At 44.5% G+C, this 21,742-nt stretch overlaps 2 long non-coding RNA genes across 7 annotated transcripts in view, besides 2 other annotated features; one reads left to right on the top strand and one right to left on the bottom strand.

Annotated features, from left to right (window-relative positions):
* Positions 1-21,742, top strand: part of LOC105373215 (uncharacterized) — a 66,658-nt gene that overhangs the window by 25,304 nt on the left and 19,612 nt on the right. The window contains exon 3 of one of the 6 annotated variants that reach the window (XR_001738545.2): positions 18,272-18,991. The exons of the other annotated variants lie outside the window; for them this stretch is intronic. This is a non-coding gene — a long non-coding RNA (uncharacterized LOC105373215). Of the gene's footprint in view, positions 1-18,271; positions 18,992-21,742 lie in introns of those variants that run through there. 6 annotated transcript variants of the gene reach the window in all.
* The window catches only part of LINC02768 (long intergenic non-protein coding RNA 2768), a 61,478-nt gene that overhangs the window by 6,555 nt on the left and 33,181 nt on the right, over positions 1-21,742 (bottom strand). The gene's annotated exons all lie outside the window — the stretch shown is intronic.
* Positions 641-1,140: an enhancer, noted in NCBI's record as "H3K4me1 hESC enhancer chr1:236081529-236082028 (GRCh37/hg19 assembly coordinates)". NCBI's record gives its function as "activates a minimal SCP1, AML or CMV promoter by ChIP-STARR-seq in naive H9 embryonic stem cells {active_cell/tissue: H9 hESC(naive)}" and the evidence as "EXISTENCE:reporter gene assay evidence [ECO:0000049][PMID:30033119]".
* Positions 6,036-6,085: an enhancer, noted in NCBI's record as "active region_2808". NCBI's record gives its function as "activates an Ori minimal core promoter by ATAC-STARR-seq in GM12878 lymphoblastoid cells {active_cell/tissue: GM12878}" and the evidence as "EXISTENCE:reporter gene assay evidence [ECO:0000049][PMID:35858748]".

Raw genomic sequence — 21,742 nt, forward strand, 5'->3', positions numbered from 1 at the left:
GAGCAGGCCTGACTCGGGAGACAGTTTGTGAAAATAAAAGCAAGCCCACATTGACTCATTCATTTGATGCTCTGATTAAGAAGCATGAGTTGCCACACCATGTGATGGAGAGCTATAAACTCCAGCCCTGGAGACATAATCTGGCACAGATTCCCTTGGATGGGCAAACGGTATTCAGGCAGGACTACCATTTCCGGGAGGGGGAGACCGGGGGAAGCAGGTCAGGACTTGAGGCTCATAACCATGCTGCACTGATTTGTTTAAAAGTAAATATTATTTGGTTTTCATTTAATTTTAAACAAAATTTAAATTTTTAAATGAAAATTAAAATGTTCACTTAATTTGAGTTATTAGATTAAAAGATAGTCTGCTTTACTGAAAGTCTTAGGCTGGAAAACAACAAAGTCGTTTGTGAAAATATTTAAATAAGAAGAGAACAGCAATCATAACAGGAATCTAAGGGGACTGTGAGTCTTGCATTGGCACATCTCAGCGCGGTGGAGACTTCTAAAGAGGGCTCTATGGATAGAGTCCTTCAGGGACCACCACCCGCCCCCATGCCCAACGCTGAGGAGGACACTCCAGCAGGGATCCACCAGGTGGCTGTAAAGCTAAGAAGGTGACCTCCTGGGTGTCCCTCCTGAAACACAGAGCACCGTTTGAACTGCCCGAGCGAGCGGACCAGCTGGCGCACAGATCACAGAGCCCTGCAGTGATCAGCTGCCATCTGGATCTGCCCGGGTGCAAGCAAACGGCACAGCTCTGGAAGCTTCCTCAGGGCTCCAAGAGAGCATCTGCGTGTTGGGAAGCCTCGGATGTGCTGCAAGACCTTTGTTCTGACTGTGGCAAAGCCTATGTATGCTAGGTGTCACATTGAATTCTTTTCTATTAATAATAACTTATCTGAGATTCTGCGCGACTGTCGCTCTAGAATCTGCATTTAGGAATGATCAGCATCAGTGCTGAGTGCCTCGGAGTGGGACATAGATTTAGGCAGAGATGTGGGAAGCAGCCATCAGTGAAGGACGATGCTGTGATTGGTGGCTGGAACCCACAAGTAGACACCAAACTGCTAACAGGGTGGTCCTGGAGGTAGATGTCTAGGCAAGCAGCCAAGATCAGTCATTTAGAGTCCATGCAGGTCTGACTTGAGACAGTGAATTTTGTAGAACTCCATACTCATTCTGAAGTGATTTTGTTATAGGCAGTCAGCTCTACCAGAGGCCTTTGTCCAGACTATCTGAAAGGCACCCAATGCAAGGGCTGCAAACCTCAACAGCAGAGGACTTGTGCTGAAACCCTTCCGAATGCATTCTCTAGACTGGCCAACTAATGTGTCTTCTTTGCTGTCCAGCTCCAATCTCCATCAGGTTGTCTTTTTAAAAAAAAATCCAAGCCTTTGCCCTGCCAAGCACCAGGAAAAGCATGATTTGCACATTTGAGAGCTAACGAAAACAGTCCATCCGAGTGTCCTAGTGAATCTGCAGCCCAGATGGGCTCACGTTTCCCTGTGTACCCCACATGCCCACTGAGCCCCGAAGTGGTTGCCCAGACCCCTTACCCAGACCCCGGGCTGAAAGAACCTTGTGTGGTTTAATCTCAGAGCAGAGTCCTCTGAGCTGGAGATGTTTGATTGAGAGACTGCCGGAGGGGCCTCCCCCAGTCGACCCAAAGATATAATGCTGGTGCCACATCTTGTGACTTGCGGTATCGAAGACTGCTGCTGGCGAAAAGGAAGCCACAGAGCTTCCACCCCTCATAGGAGGTCAGTGGTCACTGTAATCAGAGGAGTGCTCTGTTCCATTTCAGTGACTCAATGGTCACATTATCCTTTAAAAATAAAAAAATTCACATGCCAGGCCTAATAATATTGCTTCTCTTCTCTTTCTCATTTTTCCTCTCTTCCCTCTACCAGACTCTCCCTTACCCTTTTCTCTCTCTCTTTTTATTGATGCGCAATTGACATAACATACCATGAACTATTATAAAGTGCACAATTCAGTGGTATTTAGTGCACTCGCAATGTCGTGCAATCACCACCTCTCTAGTTTCAAAACCTTTTCATCTCCCAGAATAACATCTGGTACCCATTAAGCAGTCACTCCCATTTCCCCCTCCCCCCGTCCCTGACAATCACAAATCTGCTTTCTACCTCTGTAGATTTGCCTGTTCTGGATATTTCATATAAAAGGAATCACGGAACATGTGTTCTTTTTGTGTCGGGCTTCTTTCACCTAGCACATTTTCCAGGTGCATCCAAGTCATAGCATGTATAATACTTCATCCCTTTTTTGTGGCTACATGATATTCCATGGTGTGCGTAAACCACAACTTGCTTATCCATTCCTCTGTCAATGGTTGCTTCTTCCTTTTGGCCATTGTGAATAATGCTGCTATAAACATGAGTGTACAAGTTTCTGTGTAGATATGCGCTTTCATTTCTCTTGAGTAATAGAACTAGGAGTGGAAATGCTGGGCCACACCTCTGTATGTTTAACATTTTGAGGAATTGCCAGACCGTTTTCCCTACTAGCTGCACCACTTTACATTTCCACCAGCAATGTATTAGGGTCTCTCTCTCTCTCTTTATTTCTCTCTCTCCTTTCTCTAACAAAACTAAATCAACAAAACAATTTGTTCATCCTAGACTGCTGAGTGTGCCAAGGGCATTTAAATGACCAGTCATTGTTTCACAGCAGTGATTCACAGCGTGGCCATGTTAAAAGGTAAGCCTAAGCCAAACAGGCCCCCAGCTGGTCTGCAGACTTACCCTGGAGGCCAGGAACAAGACCGTCCCTCCCTGCTGTAGACAGAAAAGACTGCACTGAGGGTGTTCTGCTCTGAGCTGGTTCCCCTGGTCTGCTGCTCTTCTCCACACATGCTGTCAACCGCAGTGGGCAGGTCAGCTTGGCTGGAAACCCACTGAGTAAAGAGGCCCCCAACCCTCCAGACGATGGGAAAATATATGGCAAAAGATGTCAGAGGTAGTTCAAGGAGCTTATTATAATGCAGAGAATTCCAAATCCACAAGCAAAGAGGTGGCATTTTATGGCTCGAAAGGACCTGGAAAGCTCAAGACTCAAAATCAGGCACAGGGTTAAAGGTGAGGAAATGGAGGCCCCTCCCAGGTCCAGTGACTGGAACTGGCTGATGAGCCGCAGAGGAGGCAGGGTGAGAAATCCGGTCCTACTGTGATCAGGGCAGCCCTGTTCCAGGCTTGTCCAATAAGACTCACGCCAGGAGCTTGCTCAAATGCAGATCCCTCGGGCCCTACCCAGACCAAAGGAGCCTGAATCCCTGGGGAGGGGGATCTGTGCTTTTAATGTGTCTGTGATAAGTTTAGGAAACATGCTGAACTAAAGATAAGGCCTATTTAACAGCAACAACGGTGCCTAATTCTTGATTTGAGTGATGATATACCCTTCATGTGAGTGAAAATTTGAAGTCAGCATTTGGGAATAATCATGTCTGTTTGGTATGTGGTTTCTGTTAGAATCTGCCTGAGGCTCTGATGATCCGGACAATCACAGTGTATGGTACACACACACACACACGCACACACACACACACACGCACTCACAGGGCGGGAGTGGGTGTTAGTGGATGGAGAGTTGCCCCACCTCTTTTAACCTCGATTGTAGTAACTAACCTCACTGTTCTCTACCTTGCTTTGAAAAAACATTTTTGTGCCTTATCTAATCTTCTAACAGTTATTAAGAAAGAAGCCTGCACAGTGGGTATTTTTAAATCCCTGTTTCACGGATGAATAAACTGATTCTATGAGGTTCAGTGACTTGCTCCAATTCATAAAACAAGATGCTTGCTCTTATGAGTTTGTGTCCCCCAAAAGATATATTGAGGTCCCCCAGTACCTCAGAAAGTGTCCTTATTGAAAGACAGGGTCTTTACAGAGGTAATCAAGTTAAAACGTGGTCATTAGGGTGGCCCCTCTCCAATATGTTTGGTGTCCTTATAAAAAGAGGAAATTTGGATACAGACACGTACACAGGGAGAATTCCACGTGAAGATGAAGGCAGAAATCAGAGTGATGCTCTCCAGGCCATCAAGGAATGCCAAGGATGACCAGCGAAACACCAGAGGCCAGGAGAGGGGTGTAGAACAAATCCCTCACTCCCTCAGAAGGAGCCCACCCTGCCCACATCTTGATCTCGTACTTCTGGCCTCCAGAACTGTGAGACATACGTTCTGTAATTGAAGCCACCCAGTTGGTGGTTCTCTGTTAAGGCAGCTCTAGCAAACTCATAGACTGGCCAAACTAAGAGTCACACCCAGATCTCTTCCACATCCATCGGAGACCAGTACACATTCCACAGCACCCCAACCATCTCAGGGAGCCCCAAGCGTAGCAGGTGATGGACACGTGAACAAATGCCCACCCAGTAGTTCCATGACGGGTCTGTGCAGAATAAACAGAGTAGACAGGGTAAGGGAGCTGGGGGATTTTAGAGGCAGGTCCCAGCAGATGCTGTCTGGATGTGCCCTTGTGCCCAAGCCGCTTCCAGGGTTATGGTTTAGGATGTGGCACACAAGGAGGACCCTAGATCTGACTTCACACACTGCAGGAGCAGTCCCATGGACGGTGGGGAGAGTGGCCTCAGGGAGGCAAACTTGCAGAGTCCTGGCTGCGTTCTCTCTCAGACAGGTCGCATGGTCTCCCGGGGCCTCGGTTATTTCAACTATGAAATTGAGATAATAATACTTACCTACCTAATGCAGGGTTATGCACCCGATGCCCATGTAAGGTGCATTTATTAGCTTTATGTCTGGGTGGAGGTGGTTTGCTCTTAGACTTTCCAAATTAGGTTCAGTCTGCAGAGCTTTGGAAATATGAGGATTTCAGGGCCCGTCTCGCAGAGACTCAGATTCCGCAGCTCTGAGTTGCTACCATAGGAAATACATTGAAAAACACTCCCCACCTGAGTCTACTGGGCTGCTGGGTTTGGCAACCACTAGGTTAATGCACACTGCTGTGGAAAACAAGAATGGCCAAGGGCTTGGGTTCAAATATGAGACAAGGCAGTTTGGAGATGCTGTCATTGAACTCATATAGTACTGGGCTGAAAGTGACATCAGAGCACAGATGTCAGGTATGTGTTGATGTACAAGGCTAGTTCCTATAATGAAATTAACACTCTCAGTAAGAGTGAAATGATCCTTGTTCACACACATGCATGTATCTGCGCACACACACAAACTCACATACACACATTCACCCATGCACATAAACACACATACATGAACACACATATACATGCGCAAGCGCGCGCACACACACACACACACTCAAAGGTGTCCCTTTGAAGGGTTGTGCTACCAATGAGTCTAAGAATTGGTATGAGCAGGTCTAGGAAGATCAAAAGAGATAACCCAGGAGACAAGGGCGGTGCTGGAGGTGGCTGCAGTTCTGTCTCGGGGGGACTGTAACTGAGGTGGCCCAGGCACAGCAATAGTCAGAATAAACATCACTGTGCAAGAGCCCAGAAAAATTCAGAGCATGGGGCACAGGGGATGCTGACGGCGGGAGAGGCACGAAAGCAGAACCCCGCAACAGAAGATGCTTAGGAAGACTTGTCACCATGAAATGACATGGCAGGCCTGGTGGCTATCTGGGAGGGGTCATGGGGACAGAGAAGAGGATGGGATGAAGAGCCATGAGCAGACCTGTCTGAATGGAAGTCAGGGGTGGACTGAGAATGCGTGAACAGGGCGCCTGGGTGTTGGGATATCTGATGGAGGTAGTTGATCTGGGAGTGTGAGGCTGAGCTAGTTGTGTAGAGATGTGTGAAGGATGACTGGAAGAATCATTTGGATATTTTAACTGGAGAGGGAGGTGGTTTAATATCTATAACAAACATGCTTAATTTCAGTATGTTTATTTTTCGCATCTGTTTACTTGCTGACTCAGTAACTAGCACTCTACCACATTTACCAGGTAATGTGTAGGAACTATAGGGAAGCAGATGTTTGGCTCAGTGTACTTTTAACAAAAGCCCAAAATAACTCTCTGTATATAGAATCAGCTGACTAATCTCCTGGGGCTGAGGCCCGTCTCTGTTAAGCGTCTGGAGATCAGAGCTGAGTTGGGCTTTGAATTCATTCTAAGTGGTGACAAGTGGGAAAAACCAAGACTAGAGCCTGCAACCACTGAGGCGTTTGACGTTTAAGGGTCAAATTAGAGAAGCCAGGTTCAGACTTCAAATCTCAAGGGTCAAGGCAGGTTAAGTCAAATGAGGCTGGAAGCAGGTGGAAAAGCCCAGGGTTGGAAGTCAGCACCTGGAGCAGAGCAGGAAGCGAGGGCAGGGTGGGGTCTGGAGGCAGGTAATGACTGAATGTTTGTACAAACATCCTGTGTGTGGTTGATGGGTGAAGGTAGCTTTAAATGTGCTGGCAGCACAAGCTACATAATTTATGGGGCGCAGTGCAAAATGAAAATGCAGGGCCTCCTTGCTCAAGAATTATTAAGAATTTCAAGACAGCAACAGCGGACCATTAAACCAAGTGTGGGAGCCTTCTGGGTGCAAGTCCTGTGCACCTGTACAGGTCGCTTGACCAGGAGGCCAGCCCTGTGCGCTGGCCAGTGGGGAAGAAAGGCAGTGAGCTCCTGCTGTATGTATTGAAGCAGAAGCTGCTGGCCACTGGGTAAAACAGCCCCGGGAATGCCCATTACGGCCAGTCCAGTGCTAAAATTCTTTCATTTTACCAGCTAAAAACACCCTGGGATTTTGTAGATGGCATCACATGGTCCAGACCAAACCGACCGAAAAGACAGAGCAAAGGACCCTCCAGGCTCATGTCTAACAACCCAATTGCAGAGACCACCCTGGACCCCCGCATCAAATTCTGCAGCCAGCCCTAGTCAAAGACTATCGTTCTGCTGCAGTTTAAACAGGACAGCAAGTACAGTAGCAACAAATGGCACAAACGGTCCAGGGCAGGTGGGGAACAGGAGTATGGCTCACCGCACTCATTACTTTTCTAAGGTTTCCAACACATTCTTGGCACCAAAGCTCACAGGCCACTTGTCTTTCTGGAAGGGTCTATTTCCCTTCTGTGACATACAACAATGTGGACAGGTGAAAACATGAAGAGTGACAACCCGGGAATTGGATTCAGGCTTTGATATTGCAACACTTCTGCCTGGGAACAGATCGGGGGGGAGATACATTATTCAATTACACTCAAGAATCTAAACAAACAATTTGCTATCCCTTTTCTTTCTGGAGAGATAAAAAAAGACGATCCAAAATGTTGAGGTTAGCAGCCCACAGGTATAGCTTAGAGGTCATACATCAGTCTTTCAGCTACCTGCATATATATATATATATATATATATATATATATATATATATACACACACATATATATATACATATATATACATATATACATATATATACACACACACACATAAATGTGTATGCCTCTGTATGTGTGTATCAATATGTACATATATACACATATATGTATGTGTATAAAACACTAGCGAGAGTTGCCATGGCTATGAAGACAACTTCAGTCAGTAAATATTTGTTTTGGAGAAATGTATTGTATTAAAGACATGCTGCAATGATTTCTGAGAAGAATATAACTTAAATGAGGAAATTGATCCCCACGTGTCTGCCCCATGACCAAGGGTCTAAGTCACCTAAATCAGCTCACTCCTCTCCCCCAGATTTGCCAAGTCACCAAATGCATAAAGCATATTTCTCCCTCATTCACACAGGGAGAGGGGTTGGGACGCTAGGTGGAAGACCACCAATCAAACACGCTAAGAGTGTGACCTTCTAGCACCTCCCTGACGACTTTACATTGGTAGTTGAAAGCCTCCATTGGTGAAAACTCACCTAAAAGGAGGTTTTTCCATCAAGCCGTCTTGAAGCCCTGCATTGACGGAGCTACAACCCACAATTTTATACACAATCTAGTGGGATTTTGACTTCAAAGTAAGGATCAGGGTGTCTTTAAAGTTTTCTGGGCTGGGCGAGGTAGCTCATGCCTGTAATCCCAGCAGCACTTTGGGAGGTTGAGGTGGGCGGATCACCTGAGGTCAAGAGTTTGAGACCAGCCTGGCCAACATGGCGAAACCCTGTCTCTACTAAAAACACACAAAAAATTAGCCGGTCCTGGTGGCGCACGCCTGTAATCCCAGCTACTCGAGAGGCTGAGGCACAAGAACCACTTGAACCCGGGAGGCAGAAGCTGCAGTGAGCCGAGATCATGCCACTGTACTCCAGCCAGGGCGACAGAGTGAGATCTTGTCTCCAAAAAAAAAAAAGTCTGTTTTCTGCATGAGTCTGTCTGACAGTGCCCAGGTTAGATAAATCAGATATTGAGACAAGAGACAAACAACCGTAGAGTGTGAAAGGGCTTTGTCAGGTTCTTGCTTTGTATTAAGCAAATGGTTATTTTATATATTGAAATGTTAATGATTTTTATAGATGCAGCATTAGTAATATTTCAGGACATTTAATATTTTATTTTTAAAAAATATTTTTATTTCAATAGTTTTGGGGTACAAGTGGTTTTGGATTACCTGGCTGAATTGTATAGTGGTGAAATCTGAGATCTTAGTACACCTGTCTCCCGAGTAGTGTGCATTGTACCCAATATGCAGTTTTTAATCTTGCATTTCCCTCCCATCCTCCCCTTTCTGAGTCTCCAAAGTCCATTATACCGCTCTGTCTGCCTTTGCATACCCATAGCTTAGCTCTCATATATAAGTGAGAACATATGGTGTTTGGTTTTCTATTCCTGAGTTACTTCACTTAGAATAATGGCCTCCAGTTACATCCAAGTTCTTGAAAAAGACATTATTTTATTACTTTTTATGGCTGAGTAGTATTCCATGATGTATATATACCATATTTTCTTTATCCACACATTGGTCGATGGGCACTTAGGTTGGTTCCATATATTTGCAATTGTGAATTGTGCTACAATAACCATATGTGTGCAGGTGTCTTTTTCATATAATGACTTATCTTCCTTTAGGTACATACCCAGTAGTGGGATTGCTGGATAGAATGGTAGATCTACTTTTAGTTCTTTAAGAAATCTCAGGCTGGGCGTGGTGGCTCATGCCTTTAATCCCAGCACTTTGGGAGGCCAAGGTGGGAGGATCACCTCAGGTTGGGAGTTCGAGACCAGCCTGACCAACATGGAGAAACCCCGTGTCTACTAAAAATACAAAATTAGCTGAGTGTAGTGGTGGGCGCCTGTAATCCCAGCTACTCAGGAGGCTGAGGTGGGAGAATCGCTTGAGCCCGGGAGGTGGAGGTTGTTGTGAGCCAAGATCGTGCCATTGCACTCCAGCCCGGGCAACAAGAGTGAAACTCTGTCTCAAAAAAAAAAAAAAAAAAGAAAAAAAAAAAAGAAAAAGAAAAAAGGAAGAAAAAAAAAGAAATCTCCATACTGCTTTCCATATAGGTAATACTAATTTACATTCCCACCCGCAGTGTATAAGCGTTCCCTTTTCACCACATCCATGCCAACATCTATTGTTTTTTGACTTTTTAATAATAGCCATTCTTGCAGGAGTAAGGTGGTATGTCATTGCGGTTTTAATTTGCATTTCCCTGATGATTAGCAGAGTATTTTTTCATATATTTGTTGTACATTTGCATATATTCTTTTGAGAAATGTCTATTCATATAATTTGCCCACTTTTTGATGGGATTATTTGTTTTTTTCTTGCTGATTTGCTTGAGTTCCTTGTAGATTCTGGATATTAGTTTTTTGTTGGATGCATAGTTTGCAAATATTTTCTTCCGTTCTGTGGGCTGTCTGTTTACTCTGATGATTATTTATTTTGCTGTACAGAAGCTTTTTAGTTTAATTAGGTGCCATTTATTTATTTTTGTTTTTGTTGCATTTGCTTTTGGAGTCTTGGTCATAAATTATTTGCCTAAGTCAATTCTCAGAAGAATTTTTCCTAGGTTATCTTCTAGAATTTTTATGGTTTCAGGTCTTAGAATTAAGTCTTTGATCCATCTTGAGTTGATTTTTATATAAGGTGAGAGGAATCCAGTTTCATTCTTCTATAGATGGCTATCCAGTTTTCCCAGCACCATTTATTAAATAGGATGTCCTTTCCCCAATTTGTGTTGTTTGCTTTGTCAAAGATCAGTTGGCTGTAAGTATTTGGCTTTATTTCTGGGTTCTCTATGGTCTGTGTGTTGACTTTTATACCAGTACTATGCTGTTTTTGTAACTATGGCCTTGTAGTGTAATTTAAAGTCCAGTAATCTTATGTCTCCAGATTTGTTCTTTTTGCTTAGGGTTGCTTTGGGTATTCAGGCTCTTTTTTGGTTCCATATAAATTTTAGGATTGTTTTTTCTAATTCTATGAGAAATAATGTTGGCATTTTGATAGGAATTACACCGAATCTATAGATTGCTTTGGGCAATATGGTCATTGTTATGACATTGAATCTTCTGATCCATGAGCATGGGATGTGTTTCCATTTGTTCATGTCATCTATGATTTCTTTCAGCAGTGTTGTGTAGTTCTCCTTGTAGAGATCTTTCACATCCTTGATTAAGTATATTCCTAGGGTTTTTTTTTTCTTTTTTACAGCTGTTGCAAACAGAATTAAGATCTTGATTTGATTCTTAGCTTGGTGATTGTTGTGTATAGCAGTGCTACTGATTTGTGTACATCGATTTTTGTAACCTGAGACTACTGAATTGGTTTATCAAATCTAGGAGTCTCTTGGAGGAGTCTTTAAGGTTCTCTAGATATATGATCATATAATAAGTGAACAGTGATAGTTTGACTTCCTCTTTTCCAATTTGGATGTCCTTTATTTCCTTCTCTTGCCTGGTTGCTCTGGCTAAGGCTTCCAGTGCCACGCTGAATAGAAGTGGTGAAAGTGGGCATCCTTATCTTGTTCCAGTTCTCAAGGGAAATGCTTTCAACTTTTCCCCATTCAGTATGCTGTTGGCTGTGGGTTTGTCATATGTGGCTTTTATTATTTTGAGGTAAGTCCCTTCTGTGCCTAGTTTGATGAGGATTTTTATCATAAAGGGATGCTTAATTTCATCAAATGCATCTATTGAGATAATCATATGGTTTTTGTTTTCAATTCTGTTTATGTGGTGTATCACATTTTTTGACTTGCCTATGTTAAGCCATCCCTACATCCATGGGATGAAACCCACTAGATCATGGTGGATTATCTTTTTTGATGTGCTGTTGGATTTGGTTAGCTAGTATATCATTGAAGATTTTTGCATCTATATTTATCAGTGATATTGGTCTGTAGTTTTGTTTTTTTCTTATGTCCTTTCCTGGTTTTGGTATCAGGGTGATATTGGCTTCATAAAATGAGTTAGGAAGGATTCCTTAAAAAGAGAATAAAAAGCTCAAAGTTGCTAAAGTCCATTATCACATGAGTCTGTACCATAGTTCACAGACATACACATGTCACAGCCAAAATCATGTCTACTCAAGGAGAAGTTGTCACTGGGAATATAACATGATTAGCCTATACAGCTAGTGTTACATTTGACATCGAATGAGAATAAAAAATAAACAATGAATGCATTTTTAAGAGAAATCCTCTACACTGAAAGAGAGGATCTGAAGGGGTTAGCAAACTGTGGCCCATTGGCCAAATTTAGTTCCACACCTGTTTTAGTGTGGCCTTTAAGCTGAGAATGGTTTTTATGTTTTCAATTGTTTGAAAAAAATCAAGGGAAGCATACTATATCATGACACACAAAACTGAAATGAAATTGAAATTTCAGTGCCACTACATACACTTTTGCTGGAACACAGCCATGCCTGTTCATTTAGGGATCGTCTACAGCTGCTTTAGAGCTAGAATGCCAGAGATGAGTAATAGCGGCAGAGACCGTAGGGCCTGCAAAGCCAAATATATTTAATATGTGGCCCTGTAAGGAGAATTTTGCTGACCTCTGCTCTGGAGGATGGAAAGTACTTCCAGATGAAGCTGGACTATCCTAGGGACTCGGGGTCCAGGCTAGGACTTCTTGATAAAGCCACCCTACAGAGAGAGGTTCATCAAAGAGAGAATATAGTCCTGCACCCCAGACGAGCCTGCTCCACTGAACAGCAAGGACAGGAGGCAAACTGCCAGGAGAAGCCAGAGAGAATGAGGGGCTGAGAGCACCTGGGACCATAGCTTCTATGAGTGACAACACCTTTCATTTGCTCTAACCCTCACCCACATTATCCACTTCTGTAGATACTCCTGATAAGTCAATGTTCCAGGTATATCCAAGTCACAAGAGTGGAAGGATGGAAGCATTACTGAGTTAGACCTAGTATGTGCTGGATGTTTAAATGTTAATCTTCCTCACGACTTTCCTATCAGGTAGGCATTATCATCTCCATCTTTCAAGTGATATTAGCTTGCTTTTTTTTTTTTTTTTTTTGAGACGGAGTCTTGCTCTGTCACCCAGGCTGGAGCACAATGGCATAATCTCGGCTCACTGCAACCTCCACCTCCCAGGTTCAAGCCATTCTCCTGTCTCAGCCTCCCGAGTAGCTTGGACTACAGGAGCACGCACGCCACCATGCCCAGCTAATTTTTTTATTTTTATTAGAGATGGGATTTCACCATGTTGGCCAGGATGGTCTCGATCTCTTGACCTCGTGATCCGCCTGCCTTGGCCTCCCAAAGAGCTGGGATTACAGGCGTGAGCCACTATGCCCCACCAGCTTGCATTTTTTTTTTCTGAGTGATTACCATAGTCCCTGGCATTATTCTGTGAGCTTTACATAAATGGAGTCATTTAATCCTCGCAACGATTCTACAGAGGTCATCAGGGCGACATGGGCTACGTAATTTGCCCAAGGTTGCTAAAAAAAGAACACACACACACACACACACACACACACACACACACACACATATATATAGTTGTTGTTGTTTTTTTTTGTTTTTGTTTTTTGTGGGGGGTGTAAACCAATTTCCTTCAAGGCCTGCTATCTGTCATGTGATGTTATACCAGAGTCAGGTTGGAATTTGGTATCTTATTGTTACAAAGAGTCTGTTTTATCAGTCTTAAGAGCGTTAATGGCATGTTAATGCTGGTCAGCTGTGCCTAAACTCCAAAGGGAGGAGGGTAAATGGGGCACGTCCAACCCTCCCTTCCCACATGGCCTGAGCTAGTTTTTCAGGTTTGCTTGGATCCCCTTGACCAAGAGGACAGTCCGTTCAGTCATTTGTTGGGGCGGGTGGGGAGGTGTTTGGATTTTTTTTTTTTTTAGTTTATAAGAGGAATAGTCACTCGGTTACTATTTTTTGCACGACAACGACTAAAAAGACAAACTTCCTCTGATAAATGCGGTTTATCAAGAGAGAGAAATAAACACACACAGAGAATGAACTTCTTTGGCTCCAAACTGGATAAAACATTGGGAGGAATTTTTAAGATTAATATTCTGTGTGTAAATACATGTTCATAATAATGTTTGATTCAGGTGGCAAACACAAGTGCTCATTCTAAAGAAAGGCGTCAACGTCAAACTCAGTTTGAAAAGTTTGCCAGGGACGCAAGACTCAGCACCTCGGGCTCATGCAACTTGTATCTGCCTAAAATGAATTGCAGCTTGTCAGGAGCTACTTGGAAGAACAAAATGATCTAGAAGACCAGATGCGAAAGAGAGCAGAAGAAATCACTCTTGTTTTGTTAAGCTTCAGGGAGTTTGACTTAGCGGGTGAAGAAAGACTGAACCCCAGGTGGCAAGAGAGAGATGGGTCCCTTCGCTCTTCTCCCTGGACAACTGAACTTTCTCACACTCTCTCTAACTCCCACCTGCAGCCTGCAGTGGAGACTAGAGATGCCCCAACGACCTTGCTTTGAAGACTGAGATGAAGAATGAATCGTTAGAGGCACTTTGCAGGTGTGTGAGTGCTACACCGATGCGAACAGGGACACAGTACTAAGCTGGCAAAACGTGTGTGTAAATAGCATCTGGGAGGAAACTGCAGTTTACAATCCTAAAGGGAAGGAAAAAAAAGAAAGAGATCAGAAGCCAATAAGGGGCTGGTGCAGTGGCTCATGCCTGTAATCCCAGCATTTGGTGGATCACCTGAGATTAGGAGTTCCAGACCAGCCTGGCCAACATGGTGAAACCTTGTCTCTACTAAAAATACAAAAATTAGCCGGGCGTGGTGGTGGGTGCCTGTAGTCCCAGCTACTCAGGAGGCAGAGGCAGGAGAATGGCGTGAACCCGGGAGGTGGAGGTTGCAGTGAGCTGAGATCGCACCACTGCACTCCAGCCTGGGCAGCAGAGTGAGACTCTTGTCTAAAACACACACACACACACACACACACATACACACACACAAAACAAGAAACCAATAAGGTGGCATTTAAGAGTGCTTAAGATCTGGTGTTCATTTTAGCTGGCTGCATTGCAAAAAGATGTGAAAGCTTTTATTTTATTTTATGAATACTTATTGAACAGCTACTCTGGGCAGGCCCTACTACCAGTTTCTGGGAGAACAAGATGAATTAGGCATGGTCCCTAATTGCAAGGGGTTCACAATTTAGCATCCTATGCAGATCTCCGTGGGGACAGCCCCAGGGGTTACCCTTGTTTGCTTGTGCTTTTGAGGTAGGCATTCAAGTGTAGACACTTGCAGCTGTGCGCCCTGCTCTTCCTGGGGGCCCGTCCTTCCCTCATTCCCCACCACACCGCAGGTGGGGCAGTTTTGGCTGCTCTGCAATCTCAACCGCAAAGAGTTGCTCCACCCTTTGTCCCGGCAAAACTCTGAATTGTCCTGTAATTATTGCCACACTGCAATCCGGTGCCATCTGATAAGTACAGGTTTCAAAACTGTGCTCACAATTCCTGCCAAAGCCATCCTGCCAACATCAGGCACAGACATTGGCAAACCTACTCGGCCTGGGCTGAGTTGAGCTAAAGGTGCCATGAAAATCTGGAGATGGAAACTCAGCAACCACCTAGAATAAGATCACCTGCAACACACACATGTACACACAATCACACACACACGAGTGAGCACACACCCTTTCTCCCTGGGGTTTTGACTCCGTTCCTTATGTGATTCTATGTCAAATGTGTAGAAAAAAGAAGCTGTCCTGAGCACAGCACATTGAAAAATAAACGCCAGCATTTCAATAGCTTTGCAGAGAAGAGATCCACAGAATAGCGTTGGGTTTCCTCTTGTTCTTGCATGGAAACATGATCAGGTGAGGTTTGTACTAGAGCATTCTGTAACCCCTGATCCTGGGGGCTGATCAGGAAGAGTCAGGTGTGGTGTGTTTAAAAAGTGAAAGCCGGCCAGGTGCGGTGGCTCATGCCTGTAATCCCAGCACTTTGGGAGGCCAAGGCGGGCGGCTCACTTGAGGTCAGGAGTTCGAGACCAGCCTGGTCAACATGGTGAAACCCCATCTCTACTAAAAATTCAAAAATTAGCCAGTGTGATGGTGGGGGCCTGTAATACCAGCTACTTGGGGAGCTGAGGGAGGAGAATCGCTTGAACTTGGGAGACGGAGTTTGCAGTGAGGTGAGATCGCACCACTGCATTCCAGCCTGGGTGACAGAGCCAGACTCCATCTCGAAAAAAGAAAAAAAAAAAAAGTGAAAGCCACAGGTATCCTTTGGCAGAGGTTGCCAGTAGCCTGCCTGTAGTTTGCTTAGGCATGTTCTGAACATGCAGAATGATGTGCTGGGACTAAGTTGAGTTTGGCAGTCATTTCAGGAAAGCAAAAAAGAGAAGAATGTTAATAACTAAGAATTTCCAAGAATGGGCTCTAGTTCCAGCCTTGCAATGGAGGCTTTACATGCGCTGGCCCACAGAATCCTTACAACCACTCTGCGAAGGGCTTACTGTTATGATATTATTAGTCGCATTTCACAGATGGGGAAACAGCTTCAGAGAATAAAGCAACTTGCCCAAAGGTCACATATACAGTAGATAATGGAGCTGAACTGGGAACCAGAGCTGTGTGATCCAGTGAAGGTGGCCACAGGCTGGTAGAGGCTGCCTCACGCCTGCCCACTGCCTCTTGCCACCATGCTTGCCCCTGCTGCCCCCTGGCAGTGGCAGATTTGCAGGCTGTGCTGCCCTGAGACAGCCTCATGGGGCAGAGGGAGAAGCTTGGAGGCTCACTGGCAGACCTAGTCCCAAATGCAGGGAGGAAGGAAAAGTAGATTCATTTCCTCATTCTTGGCAGCAAAATCTCCTTCCTTCCCCATTGTTTCTTGGATCTTTCTTTTTACTTTCACTTAAATAATCCTACACTTCAATTCCTGGCCCCCTATCATCCATGCAGACAAAGCTCCTCTTTTGTTTTATTCATTATTTTTTCCCCGTTCCCCTTTCGAACTTCCATTCTCACTTCCGTTAGGTTTACATGCTAACTTGTTGATATACATGTCCTTAGACATGTGTTTACCTGAACTATGTATAGCAGCATTTTGCATACGTGTTTTTAAGTTTCATAAGTAATATGATGCCATTAATTTTATTCTATGCCCTTCTTTCAATTGACTATGTATTTTTTTTGCCTTTGCCAAAATAAGACTTTATTTTGAAAGTCATTTGAAGGACACTGAGAAAGACAGGAGACCTTAGATTCAATGGATGTAGATTCCAACTTTGGATTCTTGCCTGCCTCACTAATGGTCTCTGTTAGGCTGGAAAGGTGCTTTCTTTGGTCATTCCAATTTTTAGCTTGCTGGAGAAAACATCTTTTCCCAGAAGCCATCTTCTTCTTTTGTGTGTGTGTGTGTGTGTGTGTGTGTGTGTGTGTGTGTGTGTGTGTGTGGAGTAGAGCTTTATTTTCAGGAAACAGTATGTTAGTTGGAAATGGGTATATATATATATATATATATTTTTTTTTTTTAAATCAAGGTAGTTCTAATACATTCAACAGAGTGGGGTGGCTCAGCCAGAGGTGGCGTGAAAAGGTTCTCTATTATTTGCTTAATATCCTGCTACAACCAGAAATCCCCACCCAGGAATATAGTTCTGTACAAAGTTGTTCTGTCTTTGCATCATAAATGCTAATCAATGGTCAATTGACTATATTTTTAAAGTCTATTCATATACTGTTTGTAAATCTAGTTTATGACTTTTTTTTTTTTTTTTTTTGAGACAGGGTCTCACTCTGTCACCCAGGCTGGAGTGCAGTGGTGCCACCATGGCTCACTGCAGCCTAGACTTCCTGGGCTCAACAACCCTCCCTCATTAGCCTCCACCAAGTAGCTGGGACTGCAGGTGTGCACCACCATGCCCAGCTAGTTTTTTTATTTTTTGTAAAGATGGAGTCTCGATATGTTGCCCAGGGCTGGTCTCAAATTCCTGGCCTCAAGTAGTCCTCCCCTTCAGCCTCCCAAACTGCTGGGATTCCAGGCATGAGCCACCGAACCCAGCCTAGTTTATTACGTCTGACTGTGCAAAGTATTCCCTGCCTGCTTGTCTTCCTATACCCCTTCACTTACTGCTCCCTGATGGGTGTCTGTGTGTGTGTGTGGGGGGGGTGTGGGGATGATATTTGTTCATTGTCTGTTAGTACTCACTAAAATATATGTTCTATGTGAACAAGGAGTTTGTTTAATTCACTGAGATCACCACAGCTCTTAGAGTAGGAGCAGTACCAGCCCATGATAGGTTCTTGGTCAATATAGAATAAGTGCCTGAGTATCTGTCCACCACATTCTACGTTATCGCTTTCTCTAACAGGGTGGTCTTTTACCGCCTGCTACATAGACACCATATGGAGGAGGGTGGCGGGCTTGCGAGGTATATGCATATTTAATTCTCTTTTCTCCCTCCCTCCTCCACACCATTTCAGGGTTTTGTTTTGTTTTTTTTCAGTCTGAATTGCCCTTAGGCAGATAGAATATTTATGTCCTTTGAGGCCCGACCCTTGTGAACTATAAACAAAATCCTTGTCCAAAAAACTTTTGCTGAAGCACTTACCCTGAAAAGATATGCAGACCTTAGGTCACGCATTTTTTATTAATTTCAATCTGACATTCAAATGTCAATTTACGGAGTCCCTGCGATTGGTGGGGAAGGGGCATGAGAAGGAGGCCCCGTCCTGAAAGGCAGGGAGGAGTGTAGCAAAATGGGAGGAAGCACAGGAAGGGCGGGAGGGCTCGGGGCTGAGGGCCCGGGCGGCCAAACTCCAGGTGCCCAGCACCGGTGCCATGGAGTGCACAGCTTACCGATCTGTCTAGAAGCTGCTGGGTGCAGGTGTGTGAGGTACAGGATGTTTATAGTGTCAAAGTATCTCCCCACAGATGGAAACGAACATCATGCGCCTCTCAGCAGGATGCGCTGAGGAAGACAGGACTTGTGTAGCCTTCTGTAGAAGTGCATAATCTGAACGGGATCACAAGGAGCAAAATCAGACATGCCCAGATGAGGGGCATCTACACACTCTGCATTCTTCAAAAATGGCTCAGCGCGAAGGACAAAGCAAGGCTGAGGAGCTATTCCAGATTAAAGGAGACTCATGTGACCTGGCAACTGCACGCAACATGTGATTCTGGGTTGGATCCCAGAACAGGGAAGAACAATTCTTTAAAAGGCATTATAATGGAGTCAGTTGGGGAAATTTGAGTTGGATTGTGTATTTAATCATGGTATTGTATTAGTGGTACATTTCATGAATATGATCATTTTACTGTGGTTACATGAGTGAACCTCCTTGTTCTTAGAGGTAAAGGGTCAAAATACCCATAACTTAACCCTTAAATAGGTTAGCAAAAATGATAACTATAATGATGGTATATAGAGAGTAAGAGAAAGAAAAAAGAGAGGGAGATAAAGCAAACGTGGCAAAATATTAACAATCAGTGAATCCAAAGAGTATATGGAGTTCATTGTATTATTCTTGCAACTTTTCTGTAAGGTTAAAATTCTTTCAAAATAAGTTTTTAAAAAATGTTCATGTTAAAGTCAGGGGTAAAACCATGGAGACAGGTGTAGCGTAATAAAAGCAACGGCTAACACACACAGTGCTTTGCAATGTGCCAGGCAGTTTATACGTATTACATTGTGTAATCATCAAAGCCACCCTATCGGGTAGGTATTATTATTGTCATCCCCATTTTACAGATGGGGAAACTTTGGCTCCAAGAAGCTGAATATCTTAAATCAGCAAGGTCTTATAGCCAGTAAGTGGAAGAGCTGGGATTTTTTTTTTTTTTTTTTTTTTGAGAGAGGGTCTGGCTCTCTCACTTAGGCTGGAGTCCAGTGGTGCCATCTTGGATCACTGCAACCTCCACCTCCTGGGCTCAAGCTATCCTCCTGCCTCAGCTTCCCAAATAGCTGGGACTACAGGTGCATGCCACCACACCTAATTTTTGTATTTTTTGTAGAGATGAGTTTTCACTATGTTGCTCAGGCTGGTCTTGAACTCCACCGTGGCACAGCCACCGTGCCTGTGCTGTGAGCCTGTAGTCCTAGCCAGTTGGGAGGCTGGGGTGGGAGGATTGCTTGAGCCCAGGAATTCGAGGCTACAGTAAGCTGTGATGGCACCACTGCACTCCAGCCTGGGTGACAGAGTGAGATTCCAACTCAAAATAACCCAAAATAGCCCATTCCTGGCTACCGTGACAAAAGTCTCTTGGCACTCTCTCTGTCTCATCTCCCTCTGTCTCTACACACACCCACACACCCACTCATGGTTCTTTCGTTGTGAATCCCCCAGAGGCATCACTATATACAACAGCATAGCCTCTGCCTGGCCCCGATAACCACCCACCACTCTGAGAAGCTGCTCTGTTGGGGAAGATCTGGTTGCCATGAGTTCCTGTGACAACCACCCCAGAGGAGAGAACAGGAACCCTACTGTTTAAGGCAGATAGGTCCGATGCGCTATCTTGGACCCCAGTTGTTCCTTTAGGAACAGCTGAAGTTGGAAATTGTAAATGCAGTGCTGACCAGCAAGCAGTGGATGGGAAATTTAGGTCAAGGTGTTTACAAAAAGGAGAGAGCGAGGTCTGGGAAATCTGAAAACAGTTCTTGCAGCCCATCTACCCCAAACCAGTGCCAACTTCACTTAGGAACAGGTCAGAAGAAAGTGACCCAGGAATGGGGGCCTTTTTGGAGCAACTGGCTTAGTTAACCGGAAACGTTTCCAGTTTCTCTTCAGAGATTGGCTGGGATGAAGACACTGAGCTTCCTGCCCAGCCTGCTGGGCGCAGGTTGACGTTGGCTGGAGGAAGGAGAGGAGCCTAAGATATCCTTTAGAGGAGACACAATTTTGAAAAGGAGGATTCAGGCAATGAAAGTCTTAGATCCCTTTAGTGTGATTTTAAATTATTTTTAGGTGGCTACAAGTGAAATGTGAAACATCCTCTGTCACTTGAGGTAATACTATTAATTTCTATTTTATTTTATTTTATTTTATTTATTTTATTTTGAGATGGAGTCTCACTCTTTTGACCAGGGTAGAGTGCAGTGGCGCGACCTCGGCTCACTGCAAGCTCTGCCTCCCAGGTTCACGCCATTCTCCTGCCTCAGCCTCCCGAGTAGCTGGGCCTGCAGGCGCCCGCCACCATGCCCAGCTAATTTTTTGTGTTTTTAGTAGAGACGGGGTTTCACCGTGTTAGCCAGGATGGTGTCAATCTCCTGACCTTGTGATCCACCCACCTCGGCCTCCCAAAGTGCTGGGATTACAGGCATGATCCACCGCGCCCAGCCTTTATTTTTAATTTTTCTTAGAGACAGGGTCTCATTCTGTCACCCAGGCTGGAGTGCCGTGGCGTAATCACAGTTCACTGCACCTTCAACCTCCTGGGCTCAAGCCATCCTCCCACCTCAGTTACTTGAGTAGCTGGGACTACAGAAGCACCCCAGTATGTCTGGCTAGTTTTTAAATATTTTTGGTAGAGACAAGATCTCCCTGTGTTGCCCAGGCTGCTCTCAAACTCGTGGCCTCAAGAAGTCCTCCCGCTTGGACTTTCCAAAGTGCTGGATTACAGGTGAGAGCCACCTATTTACTTCAAATCTCACAGTATACGCTTAGCTGTCCCTTGCTGCCATACTGGCCGTGAGTCGTGACCTCAACCTGTTCTAAATTTTTAAGATGATTAAAGTGGACAGTGCCTCACGTAAACACCACCACCAGAGTGAATAACCAGGGGCCCAGCTTCCTCCTGAAGGTGCATTTATATGTTTATGTCAAATGCACAATCACAACCCTTGTGCATTATTGGACTGCCTGTATTAAAAGAGAATGTTTTGCTGAGAAGGTTGAGTGCCCTGGAAGGAAGTTGCTCAATCTAAGTGGAAACCAAACCCTAGCTTTGGTTTCCTCGGGAAATTTTGCAGTAACTACTTCTCTATAATTAGTGAGCGTGGGTTTGACCAAGCCCTTAGCCTAGATCCTGCCATAGTCCTATGTAGACATAGCAGTGCCCAGACCTAGAGCCATGAGACTGGTCATCTTTGTTATCCTGTAACCATGCAGGTGTTGAGTCTTAGAAGGAACCACCCAGTGTGGGAGTTTTCAGGTTTTTTTCTAAGTCTACAGTGGATTGAAGGGAAGGAGGAGGAGGAGGAGGAGAAGGAGGGGGGAGGAGAAGGCTGGGTTCCTAGCAGCTTTTCCGTCATGTACTGCACACAAGCAGGTCCACATTTGAAAGGAAGTCCTATGATCAAAAAAAAGTGGAAAGGAATTAACCACCATTGATTCCTCTAACTTTGCCGTCTTACTGATAAGGAAATGAAGATCCAGAGAGGTTAAGTGACTGGCCTGAGGT

Source organism: Homo sapiens, chromosome 1, assembly GCF_000001405.40.
Source record: "Homo sapiens chromosome 1, GRCh38.p14 Primary Assembly".
Classification (NCBI taxonomy): Eukaryota; Metazoa; Chordata; class Mammalia; order Primates; family Hominidae; genus Homo; species Homo sapiens.